The 18,305-nt window shown below is 55.1% G+C and overlaps 1 protein-coding gene and 1 long non-coding RNA gene across 12 annotated transcripts in view; one reads left to right on the forward strand and one right to left on the reverse strand.

Annotated features, from left to right (window-relative positions):
- Nucleotides 1-18,305, forward strand: part of EVL (Enah/Vasp-like) — a 172,815-nt gene that overhangs the window by 143,180 nt on the left and 11,330 nt on the right. For all 11 annotated transcript variants that reach the window (XR_007064013.1, XR_007064014.1, NM_001330221.2 and 8 more), the window contains 5 exons: nucleotides 8,938-9,001; nucleotides 12,106-12,170; nucleotides 13,918-14,147; nucleotides 14,962-15,083; nucleotides 18,118-18,178. Coding sequence is in view for 9 of the 11 variants with exons in the window: in NM_001330221.2 (NP_001317150.1) it covers nucleotides 8,938-9,001; nucleotides 12,106-12,170; nucleotides 13,918-14,147; nucleotides 14,962-15,083; nucleotides 18,118-18,178 (542 nt within the window). In the remaining 2 variants the exon portion in view is untranslated. The remainder of the gene's footprint in view (nucleotides 1-8,937; nucleotides 9,002-12,105; nucleotides 12,171-13,917; nucleotides 14,148-14,961; nucleotides 15,084-18,117; nucleotides 18,179-18,305) is intronic.
- LOC124903381 (uncharacterized) lies at nucleotides 15,731-18,167 on the reverse strand. The gene is made up of 2 exons (XR_007064331.1): nucleotides 16,036-18,167; nucleotides 15,731-15,859 (listed from the first exon to the last, which is right to left on the reverse strand). It is a non-coding gene; the product is annotated as an uncharacterized LOC124903381 (long non-coding RNA).

Here is an 18,305-nt window from a genome sequence, read left to right on the forward strand (position 1 = left end):
CAGTACGAGAGGTGCCCCCGGCCTGTGCCGCGGAGCCCTGCCCGTGATGGTCAGCAGGGAGTGGGCCTTCCACTGCTTTTGCTTCTGCCACTGGGACTGCACCGTGCTTTGCAGAGTGAGCTGTAGGTGATGGGAGCCCCTCTCTCTCCTCCCTGCTCCTCATGGGCCTCTCCTTTCACTCCCACCTGCTCCGGGGGTGGGGGTGGGAGTGCTGGATCTTGGGGCGAGTATCTGCCACTGACCAATTACAGGGTTTGCAATGACATCCTTGCGGAAGCGGCAGGGTGGAAGCAGCAGCTGGGTACTGGGAGGCCTGAGCTTCTGTTCCAGCAGCACCGTTCACTGGAGGCACATGACCTCGGGTAGCTTTTCCGAGCCTCAGTTTCCCCACCTATAAAATAGGGTTAATAAGCCCAGCCATGGATGATTGGAGAGATTAGTCACAAAAAAAAAAACAATGCAGTTATGCTCAGTAAACCATTAAGCATTAAGATGTGGCAGATTTTTATTGCTATTTGTTCTGTTTGAGGTTCATTTTAAGGTTAGTTTTGTGTCCTGAAATAAGCATATTAGGAAGACAGAAAGAATATTCTGCAGGGAAAACAACTCCCCTAAGGAACACAGCCTAGTGGGCCCAAACAGTGGGGGTGGGGTGTCCTGGCCTGGAAGCTGGAGACTGGGTCTAGCCCTCCTTTCCTCATTGTGAATGTGAGCTTGGGCAAGCCCCTGCCCTTTCCCTGGGCCTCGGGACCCCTCTACACAAGGGGTGCTTCTCGCCGGTACATGCGCAGCACCAGGCCCCCTGCTGTCCTTTGTCAGAACTCAAGCGCTTTTCCTCTCCAGTGTCTCCTTGTTAGTGCATGACTGCAAGGGCTGGGTGCTTCCCACTGTGGCCCTGGTCAGTCCCCCACTCTCTGAAGTGCCATCCCCACATCTGTAAGTGATGACCTTCTAACTTGACAGGTCTTTCAGACCCTGAGCGCCTAGACACAGCTTTACCTATTGGTCACCATGGAGCTGAGCTGTCTCTGCTAAGCCCAGGGCCAGGGCTTAGGTAGGAGGGTCTGTTGCAGGATTTCAGTGGGTCAGTTGGCTCTGGTAATCTGAGTAAGACATGTCAGCCTGCTTGAGCCTAAATTCATGTGGTAAGAACTCAGCAGAAAAGACTAGAAAATTCACGCCGGGTTCCTTTAAGCAAGCAACTAAGCTGTCTAAGCTCGTGTTAGAATGGGGAGGGTGACAATCAGGTATTTGTCTCCTCCTGAGCTGAGCTCGGAGGATAGGGTTCAACACTAGCTGCCTTTGTTTCCCAAAGACAAATGCAGAGCTGTTTGTTTATTAATCAGTGCTGAGCATCAGTGCACTGGGGTGGACAGAGCCCTGGGCCGGGAGACATTTGTCGTGGGCTCTGGTCCCAGCTCTGCCACCAATTCTTGTATGGCCTTGGCCAGGTGACGGTAAAGATAGTGGCCAGACCAAGCTTAGCCCAGTTCACAGACTCCATTCTCGCTTAGACACTTGCTCGCTTGGTGATAGGAATGGCACCTGTGAGGAAAGCAGGGCCTTGTAACAAGAGGGAAAGGTGTGCCGGGGATGGCCCAGTCTCACTGTAAAATGAGGGGACCCTCTGGAAAGAGGGAAAGGAGCCAGCCAGAAAGATGGCAGAGCAGGGAGGAGGCCTTAGAAGAACTTGGGACTCTGCCCAGCTCAGACCAGGTGGCTGTCGTTTGTTGGCCAGAAATTCCATCAAGCATCACTGAGCAAGTGCTGGATCCTTTGTCTCTGGCACCCCTGACATCTCCGGTTCTATCTTTTCAGGAGCCCCAGGGAGACTTCCCATAGAGACTAACTGGAAACTGAGCCCATCCCTTCCATCCCAGAGGAGCTGGGGGCTGGTCTCCCAGAGCCTCATAAATGTTCAGGGGTGGCCAAGAGGAAGGCCTTCTTCAGGAGGAGGGGTCAGTAGTTCCTCGCCTTGTCTGCCTGCCTTTGGCTGTATAAATTAATGCATTACCTCAGACAGGAGCCACACCGCTCCCTGCCTACCCCGCGCCCACCATACCTCGCGGAGGATGGATCGCAGAGCAGGGATTCTCCTCCGTAGGGTCTCTTAGACATTTATTTGTTTAGAGGTAGTGCATGATTTGGAAATTCAGAGAGAGGAATATAAGCCCACAATCCCGAGATAGCCACTGTGAACATTTTAGTATATTTCCTCCTTTGTCCTTTAGAGTTGTAGAAATTTGGAGCTGATGATCCTTGGTTCCACGCTTCTCACTTTATAGAAAATGGAAGTCCAGAGAGGAGAGAGACTCCCACACACCTAACTTACTGGCAGAGCTCCAGCACAGTTCACTCTGAAGGGGATTCGTACAATCCAGAACCGTCCAGGAGAGCACAGCCAAGGCGGAAAGGGACTGGAAGACAGGACGGGGACCAAGGGAGGCCTGGAGGGGAGTGCACCAGGGCTGCCAGGCCAGCACAGAGAGACGGTCTTTGTGGTCCTGACAGACCACTGGGGGCAGTCCTGGCAAGACAGATTTCACCCTTTGGGAAGAAGACTTTGCCAGTGAGAACCACCCACCCCAGCTAGGGCCTCGCACTTGAGGTCAGACCGGGTGGCTCCTAAGGCTCTCTGTACAGCCCTGAGAACCTGTCCAGCTCCTGGGATACCTCTCCCGGTGCCACGTGGATGGGCATTGAGGCAGCAAGGCCATTGGGTGCTGGCAATGTGCCACACTCCTGCCCAAGAAGGGGCTCCGCCAGGGGGCTCCGAGCCGCAGCTTCTCACACTCGCACCAGGGCTGGGCTCCCCTTCTTGCTCTCCCTGTCTCTGTGCCCCGCTTGACCCTTCTTCCTCCATGTGTCCTATCCCCCTGCAGTCTTGGTGACTCTGTGGAGGGCTTTAGAGTCCTCTCTTTTGGGGTTGAAGCCTGGCTTAACTGTTGACTGTTCAGAGGCCACAAAGATGCTACTTCAGTTTTCCAACTCTCCAGCTTTCTTACGGGTAGAGTGGAGCTCACAGCAGGATTCCTAGGACGAGGGAGGCTAAACGAGGTGGTGTCTGAGTCTCTGGCACAGGATCTAGTACGTAGTGTAATACACACTCAATAAACTTGAGTTCTCTCCTTACCCCAACTCATTGTATTTTCTAAGTGCCACTGCCACTGGTGGCCTATGGTGTGTCACTCACTGATAGCTCGTGAGGCCCAGTCCTCAGCTCAGCCACTGTTTCCTGCTCTGGGAGCTTATAAGCCATTAGACTTCTGCTATTTTCTCTAAGACTGTGTCACTCGCTCTAGGCTCGCCCAGTGGCTGGAGATGCTCAGTTTGCCTGGGGCCAGTCATCCACGTACTTAACAAATATGTATTGCATTGACTATAGGTCAAAAACTATGGTAAGTACTGGGAATACAGAGGTGAGCAAAACAGTTATGTCCATGGAGTTAAAGTCAGGCTGTTCTGTTGGCCACGCTCTTCCTCCTGCCCTTCCTGGTATGTGCAAGCATATGTCATGGATCCTGGTGAACTCGGACTCACATTCAGAGTCCCATGAGCAGGTGCTCTCCTACACCTGGGCCACGCCTGACCGCCCGAGTCTCAGCAGGCTATGAGGAAGTGGGAGGGGAGGAGTGTCACCTGCATCTGGCTCATTCTCCGTGAAGCCCATAATGCGTGCCCAGATTTTCCCTCTTCTGTGCTCTCCCTACCCCTTTCCACTACACTAGGACAGCTTTCTTGAAGATGGCAGTACCTTGCTTTGGAATCCTTTGTCAAATCCTTATGTCAGAGAGAGATGCTATAAAAGCCTTTTGAAAAGGTACAATACAAGGACCATGTATAAGCTCATCTCCTCCTTGGAGCAGCCTGTGAAGGGCACATGGCAATTCTTCATGTCCCTGCTTGCAGAATAGCAGCAAAGGGGAGTGACCGCCAAACGCCTGTAGTGTGTCCCAGGTAGAGATGCTGCCAGACGGGAGCCCGCCTCTTGCAGTGCTCACTCTCCCCAGTGAGAAGGGACTCGGACCTCCTGGCCCCACTCCCCATCAGTCATATAGACTCTGCCCTGAGTCTGTCAGCTCCTGTCCCCTGTGGCTGGCCCCCTCACCCCACCTCACCACCCCTCCCTTTCAGGAGGGCTCATGGCTGAGTCTGGCCCAGCCTTCCCTCCCCTCTTGTGTGTTTCTCCCCAGCTCATGGCTCCTAAGAGTAAAAGGGCTCCTCTGACTCACCACTGTGTTTGGGAGGAGTGGGTGTTTGATGGAACTTAGACTCGAAGCTGGAAAGTGGGCCTCCAAGACAGCAAGAAGTCAGCTCCTTCCCAAGAATCATCACAGTCCAGCGGGCCCTGGAGCAGGCCAGCCTGGACTTGAGCCTTGGCTGGGTCTCAGCCTCTGTCCTCCTGCAGCTCTTTGTGTTCAGAGAAGAGGTCAGCCAGGGAACCTATGGCCCGTCCTGCTACCAGTGGTGAGCCCTGCCACCAAGGGCTGGACCCACATGACACCATGAATGCCCAGCCACCCTGCTCTTGTTTGATGTTGGACCTGAAATTTCCCTTTCTCTTTTTCATTTGTCTGTGGCATGATGGGTTCTTTTATTTTTCCTTTTTTAATTTTTGAATTTCTTCTCATGCTTGTTTCCTATCTCATCCTCTTTATTTTGACTTGACAAAATTTGTCTGAGATGAATGAGAAGAGGGTGAGAGTTTTCTTAGTTGGAGTCCCAGGTGAATGGGCCAGGCCCCTGCCTCGGCAAAATCAGCTCCCAGACTCAACAAGCTTGGGACACTGGGGCCAGCGTCACAAACCCTGTGGCTCTGGGCAAGTCCCCTCACCCCTGAGAACCACCACCACTCATCCCGTATACTTCAGGGGGCCGTGGTGGAACCAGCTGGGCAGTGAGTGCACGCAGCCTGTGGAGAAGAAAGCGCTCCACCGAGGGGACCACACCAGCAAGGCTTGGGGGGCAGAGGGCCACTTAAGCCAGCACATAGGCAGGTTCCCGTCCAACTCAGCAGAAAGATCAACAGTGTGCTTTCAACAGTAATGCGAACAAATATTTCCAGCACTTTATGGATTACCATGTGGTTTTTACTCCTAGAGTTTGTTTATTCCTCACCGCAGCTTGGTGAGGTACCACTGTTAGCGTTAGTGTATTAGGACTCCCATTTTACAGATGAGGGCACAGCAGCTTGCCTAGGGGTGCATGACTAGGCAGATGTGAGGCAGAACTTAGGCCAGGTCCTCTCGTGCCCACTGCCTGCCCAGGTTAGTACCTCATGGGAACAAGACAATTAAGATGTGATCCGCAGACCATCGTTGCCATACATTCACTGTACAAAGGAGGGCACCTCATGGCCACAGAAGGTGACTCTGCGCTCTGCCACTGTGTGCAGAGCCACAGGGTCCTCTAGCAGAAAGGCATCTGAAACTCACAGCCCTGAGAAAAAGGCTGGGTCAGCAGCTCTGTGACTTTAGTTTGTCCCTAAGGCCTCTGGTCAGCAGAGGGTACCTGGTGCTGGCAGGGCATCGTTACACTGCTGCATCCTCTCTGGACAAGCATGAACTTGGGGGACCCCTTCTAATCCCTATATCTCCGTGGCTCACCTCCTAGGTTTTTCTTTTCACTCAAGTCAGTTCAGCATGACTCCTTCACCTGAACTTTTCCCCAAGGGTGAGTGAGCTTGAGCCCCCTCTCCCCTTCCTGACTTAGTTCAGTGGAATATGAACTAAGTGTCTGATGCGAGCCAGGCTATGAGCGTGGAGTGCGGAGTGAGACGTGCTCTCTGCCTGCAAGAAGCCCAGGGTCTAGTACAGAAAAGAAGGCAGCTCCCAAATTACTGGAATATGGGTGAGAAAGCTGTCAGTTTTTAAGAGAGGCGCATGGGCACCGGTTGGTGAGAAGGAGCATGAGGACCTGGGGAGGGCTTCATGGAAGAGGTGACCACTGAGCTGGGCCTGGAAGCCTTGCTTGGTGGAGACGGCAGGAAAAGGTGACCCACATGGGTTGAGTAGCGCACAAAACACAGAGAGACAGGAAGCATGGTGGGGCCGGGCCCAGTGTCCAGGTGCAGGAGGTCAGCTATGGAGGACTGTCGGGGAGGCGCAGCCACAAGGTGGCCTGGGGCCTAGGCTGAAACCTTGAATCTTATTCAATGGAGCCTGGACCCAACCCTGTGCAGGTCATGTCTGTGTTTCCCAGACATCACTTAGGCCACACTGTCAGAATGAGAGAGAGTGGAGGTGAGGGTCCAAGAGAGAGACGCCAAGGCTGCCAGGTGGCAGCAGAGAAGCAGGGTGTTTTGTGGGGCAGCCGACACAGCACCAACAAGACTCCGTTACCTAACGAGCCGTGGGAGGCAGAGAGGGAAGAGCTGGGACTCCCACCATCCCCATCGCCCTGACTCCTGTGGAATCCAAGCTCAGCTCGGGCGACGAGAGGTGGCTCCAAGGTGCTCATCTGCAGCACGGGACAGGTGCCACATCCTCCGCCTTGGCTTCTGCCTGCATCACGCAGGGAAGTCATGTGTAGTGCCTCACCACTAGACACGAGGGAGTCTGATTACTAGCAGCCAGGAGCCTTCCTTAGCTACTCCTCCCACTGAACAAGCACCTGCCAAGGGGCTGCTGCTTGGAGCTTCCCAAGGGCCACCAGCAGTCTGCAGCAATGACCTTCCCTGTCCCTCCCCCCGACTGCCACGGGGAAGCTGTGCCGGGGGACGGAGGAGGCCAGGAGTAAGGGGGCGATGGGAACCTCAGGTCTGTCACAGTTACCCTGGGTGACATTGGACAGACCCCTGCGCCTTGCTGGGCCTTAGCTCCCACCCCTAAAACAAAAGGACTGTACTTTTATAATGTTCAGGGCCATGGTGGCTCAAAACAATTGAACATTTTCTTCGTTTAAGAAGAATGGCAAGCCTTACGTAATCAGTGCAATCAAGTGTTATCCTTTCCTGCTCTGTCGGGTCTAAAACTCCAGCCAATTTTTAATCAGGTCTTAGGTGCAGGGGCCAGAGCCCTCTGGAAGGGCCAGGGCTCCTATTAGACTTTCCCAGCCTCTGGAGAAACAGGTTGGGAGGGTGTTGGGAGGACGTCAGCCCAGCAGGCAAAATGGGGAATCCAAAGCACACAACCACACAGGCCTGTGTGTGGGCAGCTGGCTGCCATCGGGGTCCTGACAAGGGTGGAAAACAGTTACAGTGACCTGGGCAAGGCCAGACCACAGACACAGAAGGATCTTGCGACAGCTGGTGGAGCCCAAGCGTGGAAAGGCCTCCATCCTAGGGCAGGGCCAACCCTCAGACCAAATGCTAGACAGGGTCGCTGGGACAGGGACTCAGCTCCCAGAAGGACAAAATCCAGATCCAGGAGTGAACTCAGCCGTTGAGACCCGGTCTTAGAACAAGGCAGATGTCCAGTTGTCCAAGCCAGAGCCCAAAGCCTGTGCCAAGCTCACAGCAGAGCAGCTCAGGTGCAAGTCCCGGACGTGGAGCTGAAACGCCAGGAATCCCTCCCGCCTCAGCCAGGATGAGTGGCAGTCAGGGGGCGGGGGGACACATGCCCACAGCACCTTGCACACCATCCAAGGGCAGCTTATGAGTCTGCCACATTCATCCTTCTTTCTTCAAGCTGGTCTCAATCTGACACCACTGTCTGATTGAGTTTAAGAAAGAACGTGGCATTTGCAGTTGGTTTGCATCTGCCACTTGCTGTATGTAAGACCTTGGGCAAGCCATTTAGCCTTTCTGGGCCTGGCTTCCCAGCTGTTACAAGTCCTTATGGGAGCCTTCTTATAGGGCTGTGAGAATTAGAGTTAAATTTAACATTAAATTTTAAAAAGTGCCTGGACGTTGCTCTGGTAATAATGTTCACATATTCATTCCTTCTGTTTCTTGAGAACAAGGAGGGAAGAACCACTAAGACCTTGGTCCTCTATGAAGTAGGAGGGAACAGGGCTGTCCCCACATCATCAGTGCAGTTGTAACTTGAATATTGCTGTGACCCCATCCTGCGGCAGAAACAAAGCCACTTCCCCATCTTGTCAGGGAGGTATGAGAGCAGCCTGCCCAGAGTCCCTCTCCCAGTCACTGCGACTCTCTGCAGTTCCCTAGTGACACCTGAGCTGGCAGAGAAGGAACAGTCAGCTCTTTCTTAGGTGGCGGCAGAAGCTTAACTGTGGCACAGCATGGGAAGCCCTGCACAGGCCCCAGCTCCAGCCTCCTCTGAACAGGAGGTCTGCACAGCAGACTTCGCCTATGCCGGGGTCCCTCCTTCAGGGTCCAGGGCAGGGTGTGGCCAGAAAGTTCCACACCAGTCTAGAACAAGGGGAGCAAGGGCAGGGTCTGGCTCCTTCCCACCCGCAGCTCCAGACACCCTTTGTAGACAGCAGGGGTCACCCCAGGTCTAGAAGCATAGGCCTCAGCTCAGACACACCCAGGTTTTAACTCTGACCAAGACATCCGCCAGCTGTCAGTGTCAGTCCTTTGCTCAGAAAGTGGAATCAAGTGGACTTGTTAGGTTTGGCAATTCCCAGTTCCCCGCTGATTTTAATTAGAACATCCTGGTGGGATGTAAAGAGGCCAGATTCAATGTTAAAGGGTTGAGGGGGTGGTGGCCAGCAAGAAGGTCGAAGCAGTGAGAAGATAGTTTGAGAGAGAAGGCGAGCAGGGTCAGTAACTGAAAGGGTTAATTTTTAACCATGTGAAAGTTTGGGTCTCATTTATTGGTTCAGAATGAAGAGCCGTGAGAGAGAGAGGGTGATTGAGAGAGGAGATGGAGTGAGTGATGCACAGGTGTGAGTGAGGCCAACATTTAAAAAGATTCTTAAGGATGTCTCTTCTGCAGCCAGAAGGTGGGCAGAGATAGAGAGCACTCCAGTTGGGTTTGCTGGGGCCTTTCTTCCTCTAACCACACTGTTTCTGTGCTTCTCTGCCCACAGGCCCCTCCAGCCAGCGTCAGGTGCAGAATGGCCCCTCTCCTGATGAGATGGACATCCAGAGAAGGTAACCCAGCACCCGCAGGGGCCAGGCTGGTCATCTCCCAATCAGGCTGGGTGGCCAGGGGTGCCTTCAGCGGGTGAGGATGCACCAGCAGCCAAGGCCAGGACTCCTAGAGGCATACACTGCGGGAGGGTGCAAGGTGCAAGCCAGACCAGGAAGAAAGAGGGGGCCGATGCGCAGCCGCTGGTCCCGGACACCAAGACCAGGAATGACTGTGGGAGTCTGGCATTCTACAGAGAGTGCTGCTGACCTCCAGCGGGACGGCTCTCAGGGTGACCCAGCAGGGCCCAAGTGCTGCTCCCTTGTTGCCTCACTTGCCCTTCCCCAACGTAGCAGGAGGCAGTCCAGGCATGAGGGATTCAGCCTGTTGGGGCAGTCACGCCCATGGGATGGGGCTAGGGACCATAGGAATGAACCCCCTCACCCCATGGAGCTTCTAAAGTGTTACCACAGTGGGGAAGAGGAAGGGCCAAGGCTGTTGTCCCGAAATTACAGAGTCGTGGTGAGTCCCCATGGAGCAGCCTCCCAAGGTCACATTGCTCTGAAATGGCAGAGTCAGGACTTGAACCCAGGTCTGCCCTCTCAGCGATGGGTCCTCTGCCTCTTCTGTGTCGAGGGAGGTAGGGCCTGGCCCGGGCCTTCCTCACTCAGCTTTGTCAGATAGGGAGTCAAGCTGCAGCTCTCTGTGGCTACACTTATGTCCAGCCCTGGACTAGGAGTCAGGAAAGCCGGCTTCTGCCCCCACCTACCCCTCTCACCAAATGGCATACGGACTTCTCCCAAGACCTCCTCTCCTCTGGCCTTTTCCTAAGACTGAGAAATGAATGCCTTGCAACCTTGGGCAAGTTCCTGCTCCAAGCCTCCGTTTCCCGGTTTGAAGATGGTGTTGGCTTTGCTCCCCACCTGTCTCACCCACTCACCCTCAGGGCTTTTCTTACTGTTGTCCCCATGAGCCAGCTGAAGCCGAGAATGGAAGTGACTTGCCCAGAGTAACCAGAGAGTCAGGCAGAACCTAGACTGGCAGTCAAGTCTCACTCCAGCTGCAGCTCCCTGCCGGGACCCAAGGCTGGTCCCACCCACAAAAGGGCGTGAAGGAGTGAGCCACCAGACGCCAGGTGTAAGCGTACAGGCGTGGATGGCTAAATGGGTACTTCATTTCTCTCGAAACTGCTTCATCACCCGCAGTGCTGAATTCTGTACCCCAGGGCCCAATCCAAGCTGTGTGGGGTCACTGGCCGTCCGGGAATGGGCATACCGCCTGGCGGTCGGGGTGTGAACAGCAGGGGACACACACACAAGCACATACACTTGTCCCAAGGCAGGACCACACACATAGCTGCCCCCAGACGAGACCACGTACGGACGGACACACACACCTGCTGCAAGACGAGACCACACACATGCGCACACACACACACCTGCCCCAAGATGAGACCACATGTGGATAGACACACACACACACACCTGCTCCACGGTGGGACCACACACAGACACAGACACACACACCTGCCCCAAGGCGGGACCACACACACACACACACACACACACACACCTGCCCCAAGGCAGGAATACACACACACACACACACACACACACCTGCCCCAAGACGGGATCACACACACAGACACACACACACCTGCCCCAAGGCAGGAATACACACACACACACACACACACACACACACACACACACACGGCAGGGAGACTCTCGCTTGTCCCACGCAACTTTACTGGAGGTGGGCAGGGGCAAGACTTACTCAGTGACGCAGAGACTCCAAGCATCCAAACAGTACCATAGGTTCAGACCTGACTTGAGTATTTTTCACACATCCTCATTTTACCATGGTGTTCTAGGTGTGTGGCTCCTGCTGGGGAGGTTTCAGCAGTTTGAGCAGAGACACTAATGTAGATGCTGCTGGGAGCTTTTCAGACCTTAATGCTAAAAGGGGCTTTTCCGTAATTTTTTTTTTTTTTTGAGATGGAGTCTTGCTCTGTCACCCGGGCTGGAGTGTAGTGACGCAATCTTGGCTAACTGCAACCTCCACTTCCTGGGTTCAAGAGATTCTTCTGCCTCAGCCCCTTGAGTAGCTGGGATTACAGGCGCGCGCCACCACACCCAGCTCATTTTTGTATTTTTAGTAGAGATGGGGTTTCACCATGTTGGTCAGGCTGGTCTCAAACTCCTGGCCTCGTCATCCGCCCGCCTCACCCTCCCAAAGTGCTGTGATTACAGGCGTGAGCCACCACGCCCAGCCATTCCATAATGTTTTAGTTAAGGCATACACCCTACAAGAACCCCATGAAATAGATGTTTCTGGCACTCCCACCAAGCCCAGAGCTGCCTTCAGAACAATCCTTAGCCCTGTGTTTCCACAGCACATGTTCAGTTTGCACCACACGAGCTGAGCTCTTGATGCTGTCTGTGGCCTGGATGATTTCTTAAAGTGCCTCCCACTCCAGAACTCGATCCCTGGATTCTGGAGATGTATCTGGGCCTCAGTGTCCTCACTCAGCTTGCCTTTAAGAGCACCCTGAGGCCACCCTGCCATAAGGCACTGGGATGTGAGTTCCCACTGCTGTGCACGTAGCAGTGTGCCACGGTGCACCAAATGGCCCTCTAGACGAAGGCGGGCCTATGACCGCTCAGTGGTAAAGAAAATGAGGAGTGTGGCCTTTGTGTCCATTTCTGCTGGCAACCAAAACACACCTGAGAACTGTCCCAGGAAGCTTGGCCAGGTCCACTAAGAACAGGCGTTCCTGAGGCTGGGTCTGTTGAGGCCACAGGCTCCCAAAAGCCAGGTGCGCCCATCTAGCCCAGGGAAGAGCTTGGTCACTCTGGGGAGTGGAATCACACTGGCCTTCCATAAGGAGCTCTGTGTTCAGTGTGCCTGAGACTCAGGAGACAGCCGGTGCTCCCACTTGCGGGAGCTGGACCCAGTCACATCCCCCTCCTCTGTTAAGTGGAGGCAGCCGTGGCACACAGTGGCGCTTGTGGAGCGCTGGCGAAACCTGACTCTGAAGCCGGGGCCGGCGGGTACAGCACAGGCACAGAGTGTGGTGGTCTCCAGAGTGGAGGAGTCAGACTGCCCTGCTGTGATTACTTTCCAGACAAGTGATGGAGCAGCACCAGCAGCAGCGTCAGGAATCTCTAGAAAGAAGAACCTCGGCCACAGGTGAGAGCCCTCCTCCCCTAGGGCCGACTCCCATGCTGCTGCCAGGTGGCAGCCCCTCCACGTAGATGAGGCCCAGGGACACACGGGGCGCTCTGTGAGCAGCTATGGGGAGCCTAGGTCTCAAAGTGCAACCACCACTTCAGATGGTGAGGGTAGCAAGAGAGCAGAGCAGAGGCTTGGGGAGTCTGCTCAGCTGGGTCTGGCCACTACCTGCCAACCTTCTCCGGAGTGGACATTCAGCAAGCACCTCCTGTGTCTCAGGCACCGTGCTAAGGGCTGGGGACACAACTATGACTGCAGATGCAGTTCCTGCCCTCAGGAAGCCCGCTGTCCACTCAAGGAGACAGTGAACCCACCCTTGTCATGTCACGTAGTGAACACTGTGGCAAGTGACGTGCAGGTGCTGAAGGCCTACCTTGGGTCAGGAAGACTTCCCACAGGAGGCGCTGCCACGCGTCTGTCTTGGACGTTCGGTGGAGCTTAGCACGTTAAAGGAGAAGGACGAGGGTTTTCCAGAAATTGTCATGTTCACTGATAGGCAAAGGACTGGATAATTTACCAAGTGCTTTCATGTCCTTTGTCTTGTTTAATTTTCTCAAACACCCTATGAAGTGAGCAGGTGACTATTATCCTGTTGACTGATGAGAAACCCGAGCCCCCACTGGTTACAGGAACGCTCTGCTCGTGAGATGCTGGCTGACCCCATCACCCCCACCTAGCTGCTGCTGGCCTCCTGCTCCCCGGCCAGTCTGCATTTCTGATGCAGGTCTGACACTGTCATCATGTCGTCCCTTCCCCATCACTCTTGGAACAGCCTGTGCCTGCCCTCTCTCCCTCTAGTGCCTCGCAAGCACTTCCCATCCTTTTCCTCCTTCCTCACACTTGCCTCCCCCCTTCACCTAACTGAACCCCTGCTCTCCGGTCGTGTCCCAGCTCCACAGTCACTTCCGTGAGGACGTCATGGAGGACGTCCGTCTTCCATGAACTTCTGGCCAGGCTGGAGCCCCTCTTTGTATGCCAACATGGCGCCGTGTGCCTGCCCTTGGTAACACTTGTCAGCTTGCCACAGTCCTCCATCTGCGTTTACCTCTGCGATTCGTTGACTGTTCCTCATAGGCTGTGAGCACCCTGAGCAGAGAGCTTGTGGCTGGTTTTCCTCAGCACCATACCCAGCACCTAGCACAGTGCCTGGCACAAAACAGGCTTAGGCAGCACTGGCGGAAGGGGCTGGATGGATGATGCTGGAGCCCAGCACTCGGCATTGCGCCCTGACCCATGCCCCCAGTCGGCCCTGGGACCCACAGGACCTGCCACGGCCCCCAACGACCCAAGTGTCAGTCACAGTTGGATCTTGGTGACCAACTTCTGCCTAGGGGGTGCTAGGTGCTTAGAAGGAGCAGAGAAGAGAAGAGGCACAGACTGTAACCAGACAGCTTCCTCTCCCCCTGGAAAAACATGATTGGAGCAAGAGGAAATTGCCTGGGCTCAAGGAATGTTAAGCAAATAGAGGACACCTGTGGGTCCAGCCAGGCCCCGGAGTACTGAGGACACCAGAATAGGGAATAATTGTGCCAGAGCCAAGTTCATCCCGCGGAGGCTTCCTGGATGAAGCAGGCCTGGAGCTGTTTCTCATCCCTTTGGGGAGCAGCCTGCCCCTGTCCTTCCTCCGGGGAACCTGAGCTGAGAGCAGCAGGCTTGGCCCCCAGCTGGGTGCTGGAGCTGGCTGAGCCTCACTGTTGTGTTTCAGGGCCCATCCTCCCACCAGGACATCCTTCATCTGCAGCCAGCGCCCCCGTCTCATGTAGTGGGCCTCCACCGCCCCCCCCACCCCCAGTCCCACCTCCACCCACTGGGGCTACCCCACCTCCCCCACCCCCACTGCCAGCCGGAGGAGCCCAGGGGTCCAGCCACGACGAGAGCTCCATGTCAGGACTGGCCGCTGCCATAGCTGGGGCCAAGCTGAGAAGAGTCCAACGGGTAAGAGCTCCTGTGTGCGGGGTGGGAATGGGACCGAGGGGACCCTTGTGCCATCTGCAGAGCGCTTGTGTTCCTTCCCGCATCTGCGAGACACAGCAAACTGCTTCCCTGCCCAAAGCTAGCTGGCCCTTGGCCACTTGTTCTCAAACGAGAAATCACATGGGACAGCACTTTGAAATTATGAAGTTAGCCTTTGAGCCTCACGTTGACCTTCACACGTGGGGCAAGAACTATGTCCCCCTTTAGAGATGAGGAAATTGAAGCACAAAGAGCACGAGTAATTTGCTCAAGTCACACCGTTTACAAATTGCAGATTTTGGACTCAAGCCTGGGTCTCCTGAATCTATGTCCATTGCCCTTTCCACTGTAGGAAGCTGTATGCTGGCAACTAGGTCCACCCGGCTGTTTCTTCCCTAACCCTTGCTCATATGTTCTAGAACTGTGCTTGTAAGAATAGCTCTAATACAGACCTTTGGCTTACATTGTGTTTCCTTCCCACAGGATAGTCTCTTCTCCCCTCCCTCCCTCCCTCCATGTGTCATGGCTGGTCTTGGCAAAGACACTAACCATGAGTCTGCAGGCCTGGGGAGTGTCTGCGACTTGTGTGACCTGGGCTGGTCCTTGTCCCTCTCTCGATTCTGGTTTTCTCCCCTGTGGGGTTGGAGAATAATGGACCAGATGGCCCCTGAGGCCCCTTGCAGTGCTGCTGCCATAGGATTCACACGCACACAGTCCCCTGCATCCCCTCACATCGTTGCTGCTCCTGTTCTGCCATCAGCAGCAGAATCTAAAACGCGGCCTCCTTTTTCCTCAGCCAGAAGACGCATCTGGAGGCTCCAGTCCCAGTGGGACCTCAAAGTCCGATGCCAACCGGGCAAGCAGCGGGGGTGGCGGAGGAGGCCTCATGGAGGAAATGAACAAACTGCTGGCCAAGAGGTGGGTCTCTACACCTCCCGAGACTTGGTGTGCCTAGCAGGAAGCTCCTGCCCCCGCCCCCAGCGCTGCACAGAGAATCCTCTCTTGACCCCAGAATCTTTGTTCCCTGGGTTTAGCCAAGCAGGGGAAACTGTTACTTAAGTTTTCCCTTCCCAAGGGGTTAGTCTGAAGCGCAAGCCCACAGGAGTCCTCTAAACTCCAGATCCTTCATTTTAGCTCAGCAAATATTTCCTGAAGCATCTACCATGTACCAGCCCTGTCCTGAGCAGAGATAAATGTGGAGACAATTTCAGAGATAAATGCGGGAAAAAGAACAGTCCTTGCTCTTAAGATCCTAACAGAAATAAGATGTGGCCGCAGTGGTCGAGTTTGCAGAGGACACTCTGGTGAATGTGTGGTGAAGGCACCCCATTCTCCAGGGTTCTTTATGGAGGACTCAGGAGAAGGAGTTATGAAGGGTAGGAGCCCAGAGGGCATTGCCCTGAGCGACGGAGAGAGAGTAGTTCCATCTACATCCCGGCCGGGCTCTTGGGCCTGAGACCTGGCCATGTGTGTCTGCTCGCTGCAGCGGGTGTGGCTGCAGCCTGCCATTGTGGCTCTCCGCTGTTCCCCAAATGAAACCCGAGCAGATGGGGAGATCGTCCAGGTCTTTCTCAAAAGGGATGCAAAGCTTGGATTTTATTTTTAAATATGACTTGGCATCAGGAATGTGCTCACCTTGGACTACCAATATCGTGGCTCACTTAGGCACCAGAGGGCACGGGAGTAGGCCTCACCTGCCAGAACAGAGGAAGCTGCAGCGGGGGCCCTGCTCCCTTGGTAACCCCACCTCCACCCCCTGCCACTTTGTCGCCTTCTCCTGGCCCTCCCAGCTGCCTTCCAATTGGCTGACCCAAGTGAGAACTCTGTGTGCCCAGGGTCTTCACACTGCAGTCCTAGTTCCTCTCATTACCTTCCCGTGGCTCCATGAGGATGATGCGAGATGACAGAGGCCCACAGCTGCAGGCAGCTGGTGTGGCGCTTCATGGCAGGGCCACAGCCTGGGTTTCCTGCCAAGGGGCTCTTTGCTTGCATCACAGATGGCAGGGAGGGGAGGCTCCCCGTGTGTCAGGGAGCAGCAAGGTGGATCCGCAGCACGGGCGTCTCCGGAGCCTCTACTGGGCCTGGGCGTTTGTACATCGCCAAGACAGGAGGCAGGCTTCTGAGCAGTTTCCTGTGAGAGTAAGTCCAGGTGTGTGGGGCTTACAGTGGCCACACAAAGGCGAATGGCTCCGTGGGTGAGAGAGCCGGGAGGGCTCGCAGAACGATGAGGACGTCCCGTGCTGTAAGAGGGACAGTGGGCAGAGTTAAGGTAAGGCTGGGAAGGCTGACGCCCCCTGTGCCTGGAGAGCTAGGTGTGGAGGAAATGGACCAAAAGTCAGGCTGGAAGAGGGAGCCTCCTGGTGCAGGGCATCGGGTTCCACCTCAGAGCACTCAGAGGCGAGGATGGGCCACAGAGAAATAGAAATAGTTTTGGAAAAGAAAATATGAATGCTTTCCCTAAGTCCTAGACCAAGCTGAGGGGAAGCACCTTTCTGTCTGAGAACAGGAAAAGGCCAGTATTGCCAGGAGCCAGTGAGATGCCAGATGCCGGTGGGAGAGTCAAGGCCCTCCCAAGAACAAACATGCTTTGCATAGCTCAGCAGGGATCAATCAGGTGCTCTCTGAAATCCACCTCAGTGATGGCTACTGGGTGGAGCCGACGATGAAAGTGCCCTTGCCAGGTTTCTTTTCATGTAGGTTGTCTCCCGCCTCTGAGGGCATGCAGTTGAGTCTCCCAACAGTGGAGGGCAGGAGGGAAATGAACGTGGACAGAAAGCTCCTGTTCAGCAGCACTTTCACAGACACTCATCCCGCCTACACTCCCCGTGAGCAGGTGGCTTGGTCAGCGTTCTGTTTCTAGGAGATGGGACACTGGCTGCTGGGGGGTAGCTGGTGAGGTGTAAGTGATCGTGGCTAGGCCAGTTAGGAGACTCTGACAGTCCAGGAAGAGATGATAGGGGCATGCAGGAAGGTGTTGAAGGTGAAGACAAAAAAGACAGGCAGGTACCCAGATTTAGAGAACTGACCAGGCTGACAGTTATAAGAAGCTGGTGTCAGGGATGATTCCCTGGTTTCTGGGCTGAGGGACGAGGTGGGCAGACCTGTCCTGAGATGGGAGCTAAAGAAGGGGGCCCCTGCTGTAGCTGAGGAGGCTGCCAGGTAGGCCCATCACAGACAGGTGACAGCCTGGCCACGGCCCATTATCACACCTCAGACCAGCTCCATGCTTGATGGGCAGCTCATCTCAAGTTGAAAAGCCACAGAAGCGTATCTCTGGGAAACACTGAGGGTCTGCCTGCCTCTGTAGACCTGGGAGGTCAGCAGATACCACTGAGGCCAAAAAATATGGGTGAGGTTTTAGAGTACATGAAACGGGGATTCATACTGGGGAGGTGCACGAACCGACTCAAGGGCGTCACGTGGACCTATTCCAGGGCTCCTCTTCTGAGCATTTCCAGGCTCTGAGTGGCATTCTAGATTGGGGAGGGCGTGGCTGGGTTAACTGAGTTCCAAGACACAAGGGCCTTAGAGTGACACAAGAAAGTGTCCAGTGTCCCGACCTGTGGGACAGACTGCAGCCCAGAGAGATGCCTCTCTGTCCCGTGTGGCCAGGCCTTCAGTGTCCTGGGGACAGAGCGTGCCCGCCTCCCCTCCACGCCTCAGATGCTACAGCTGCTGCCAGTAGAGCTAAACAGACATAGAGGCATCTCGCCCTCTCTGCCTAGACCAGTTTTGTGTCCCAGGCCATGACCACACGGAGGGCCTGGACATTTGCCTGGGCCTGGCTCCTCACCAGACGGGGCCTAGACAAGCCGCCTCCTTCACGCCATCGTTTTCCCACACAGGTTTATCTGAGGACCGGGGTGAGTCTGGCAGGGTGGAGGCAGAAGAGTTCTGGGACAGTGAGAGAACGTGAGGAGCTGATCTGTATCTTCCCCTTCTCTGTGCCTAGGAGAAAAGCAGCCTCCCAGTCAGACAAGCCAGCCGAGAAGAAGGAAGATGAAAGCCAAATGGTGAGCAAGCAGCCCGCCCCACCCTCAGGCTCCCCACTGAGATGAGCGCATCGCCAGGGAGGCTCTCTGGTCTCAGGCGAGGCCTTTGGGACATGCGTGGGATGGGCGCTTCATCAGGTGATTCACA

The sequence above is a fragment of the Homo sapiens genome, chromosome 14, assembly GCF_000001405.40.
Source record: "Homo sapiens chromosome 14, GRCh38.p14 Primary Assembly".
NCBI lineage: Eukaryota > Metazoa > Chordata > Mammalia > Primates > Hominidae > Homo > Homo sapiens.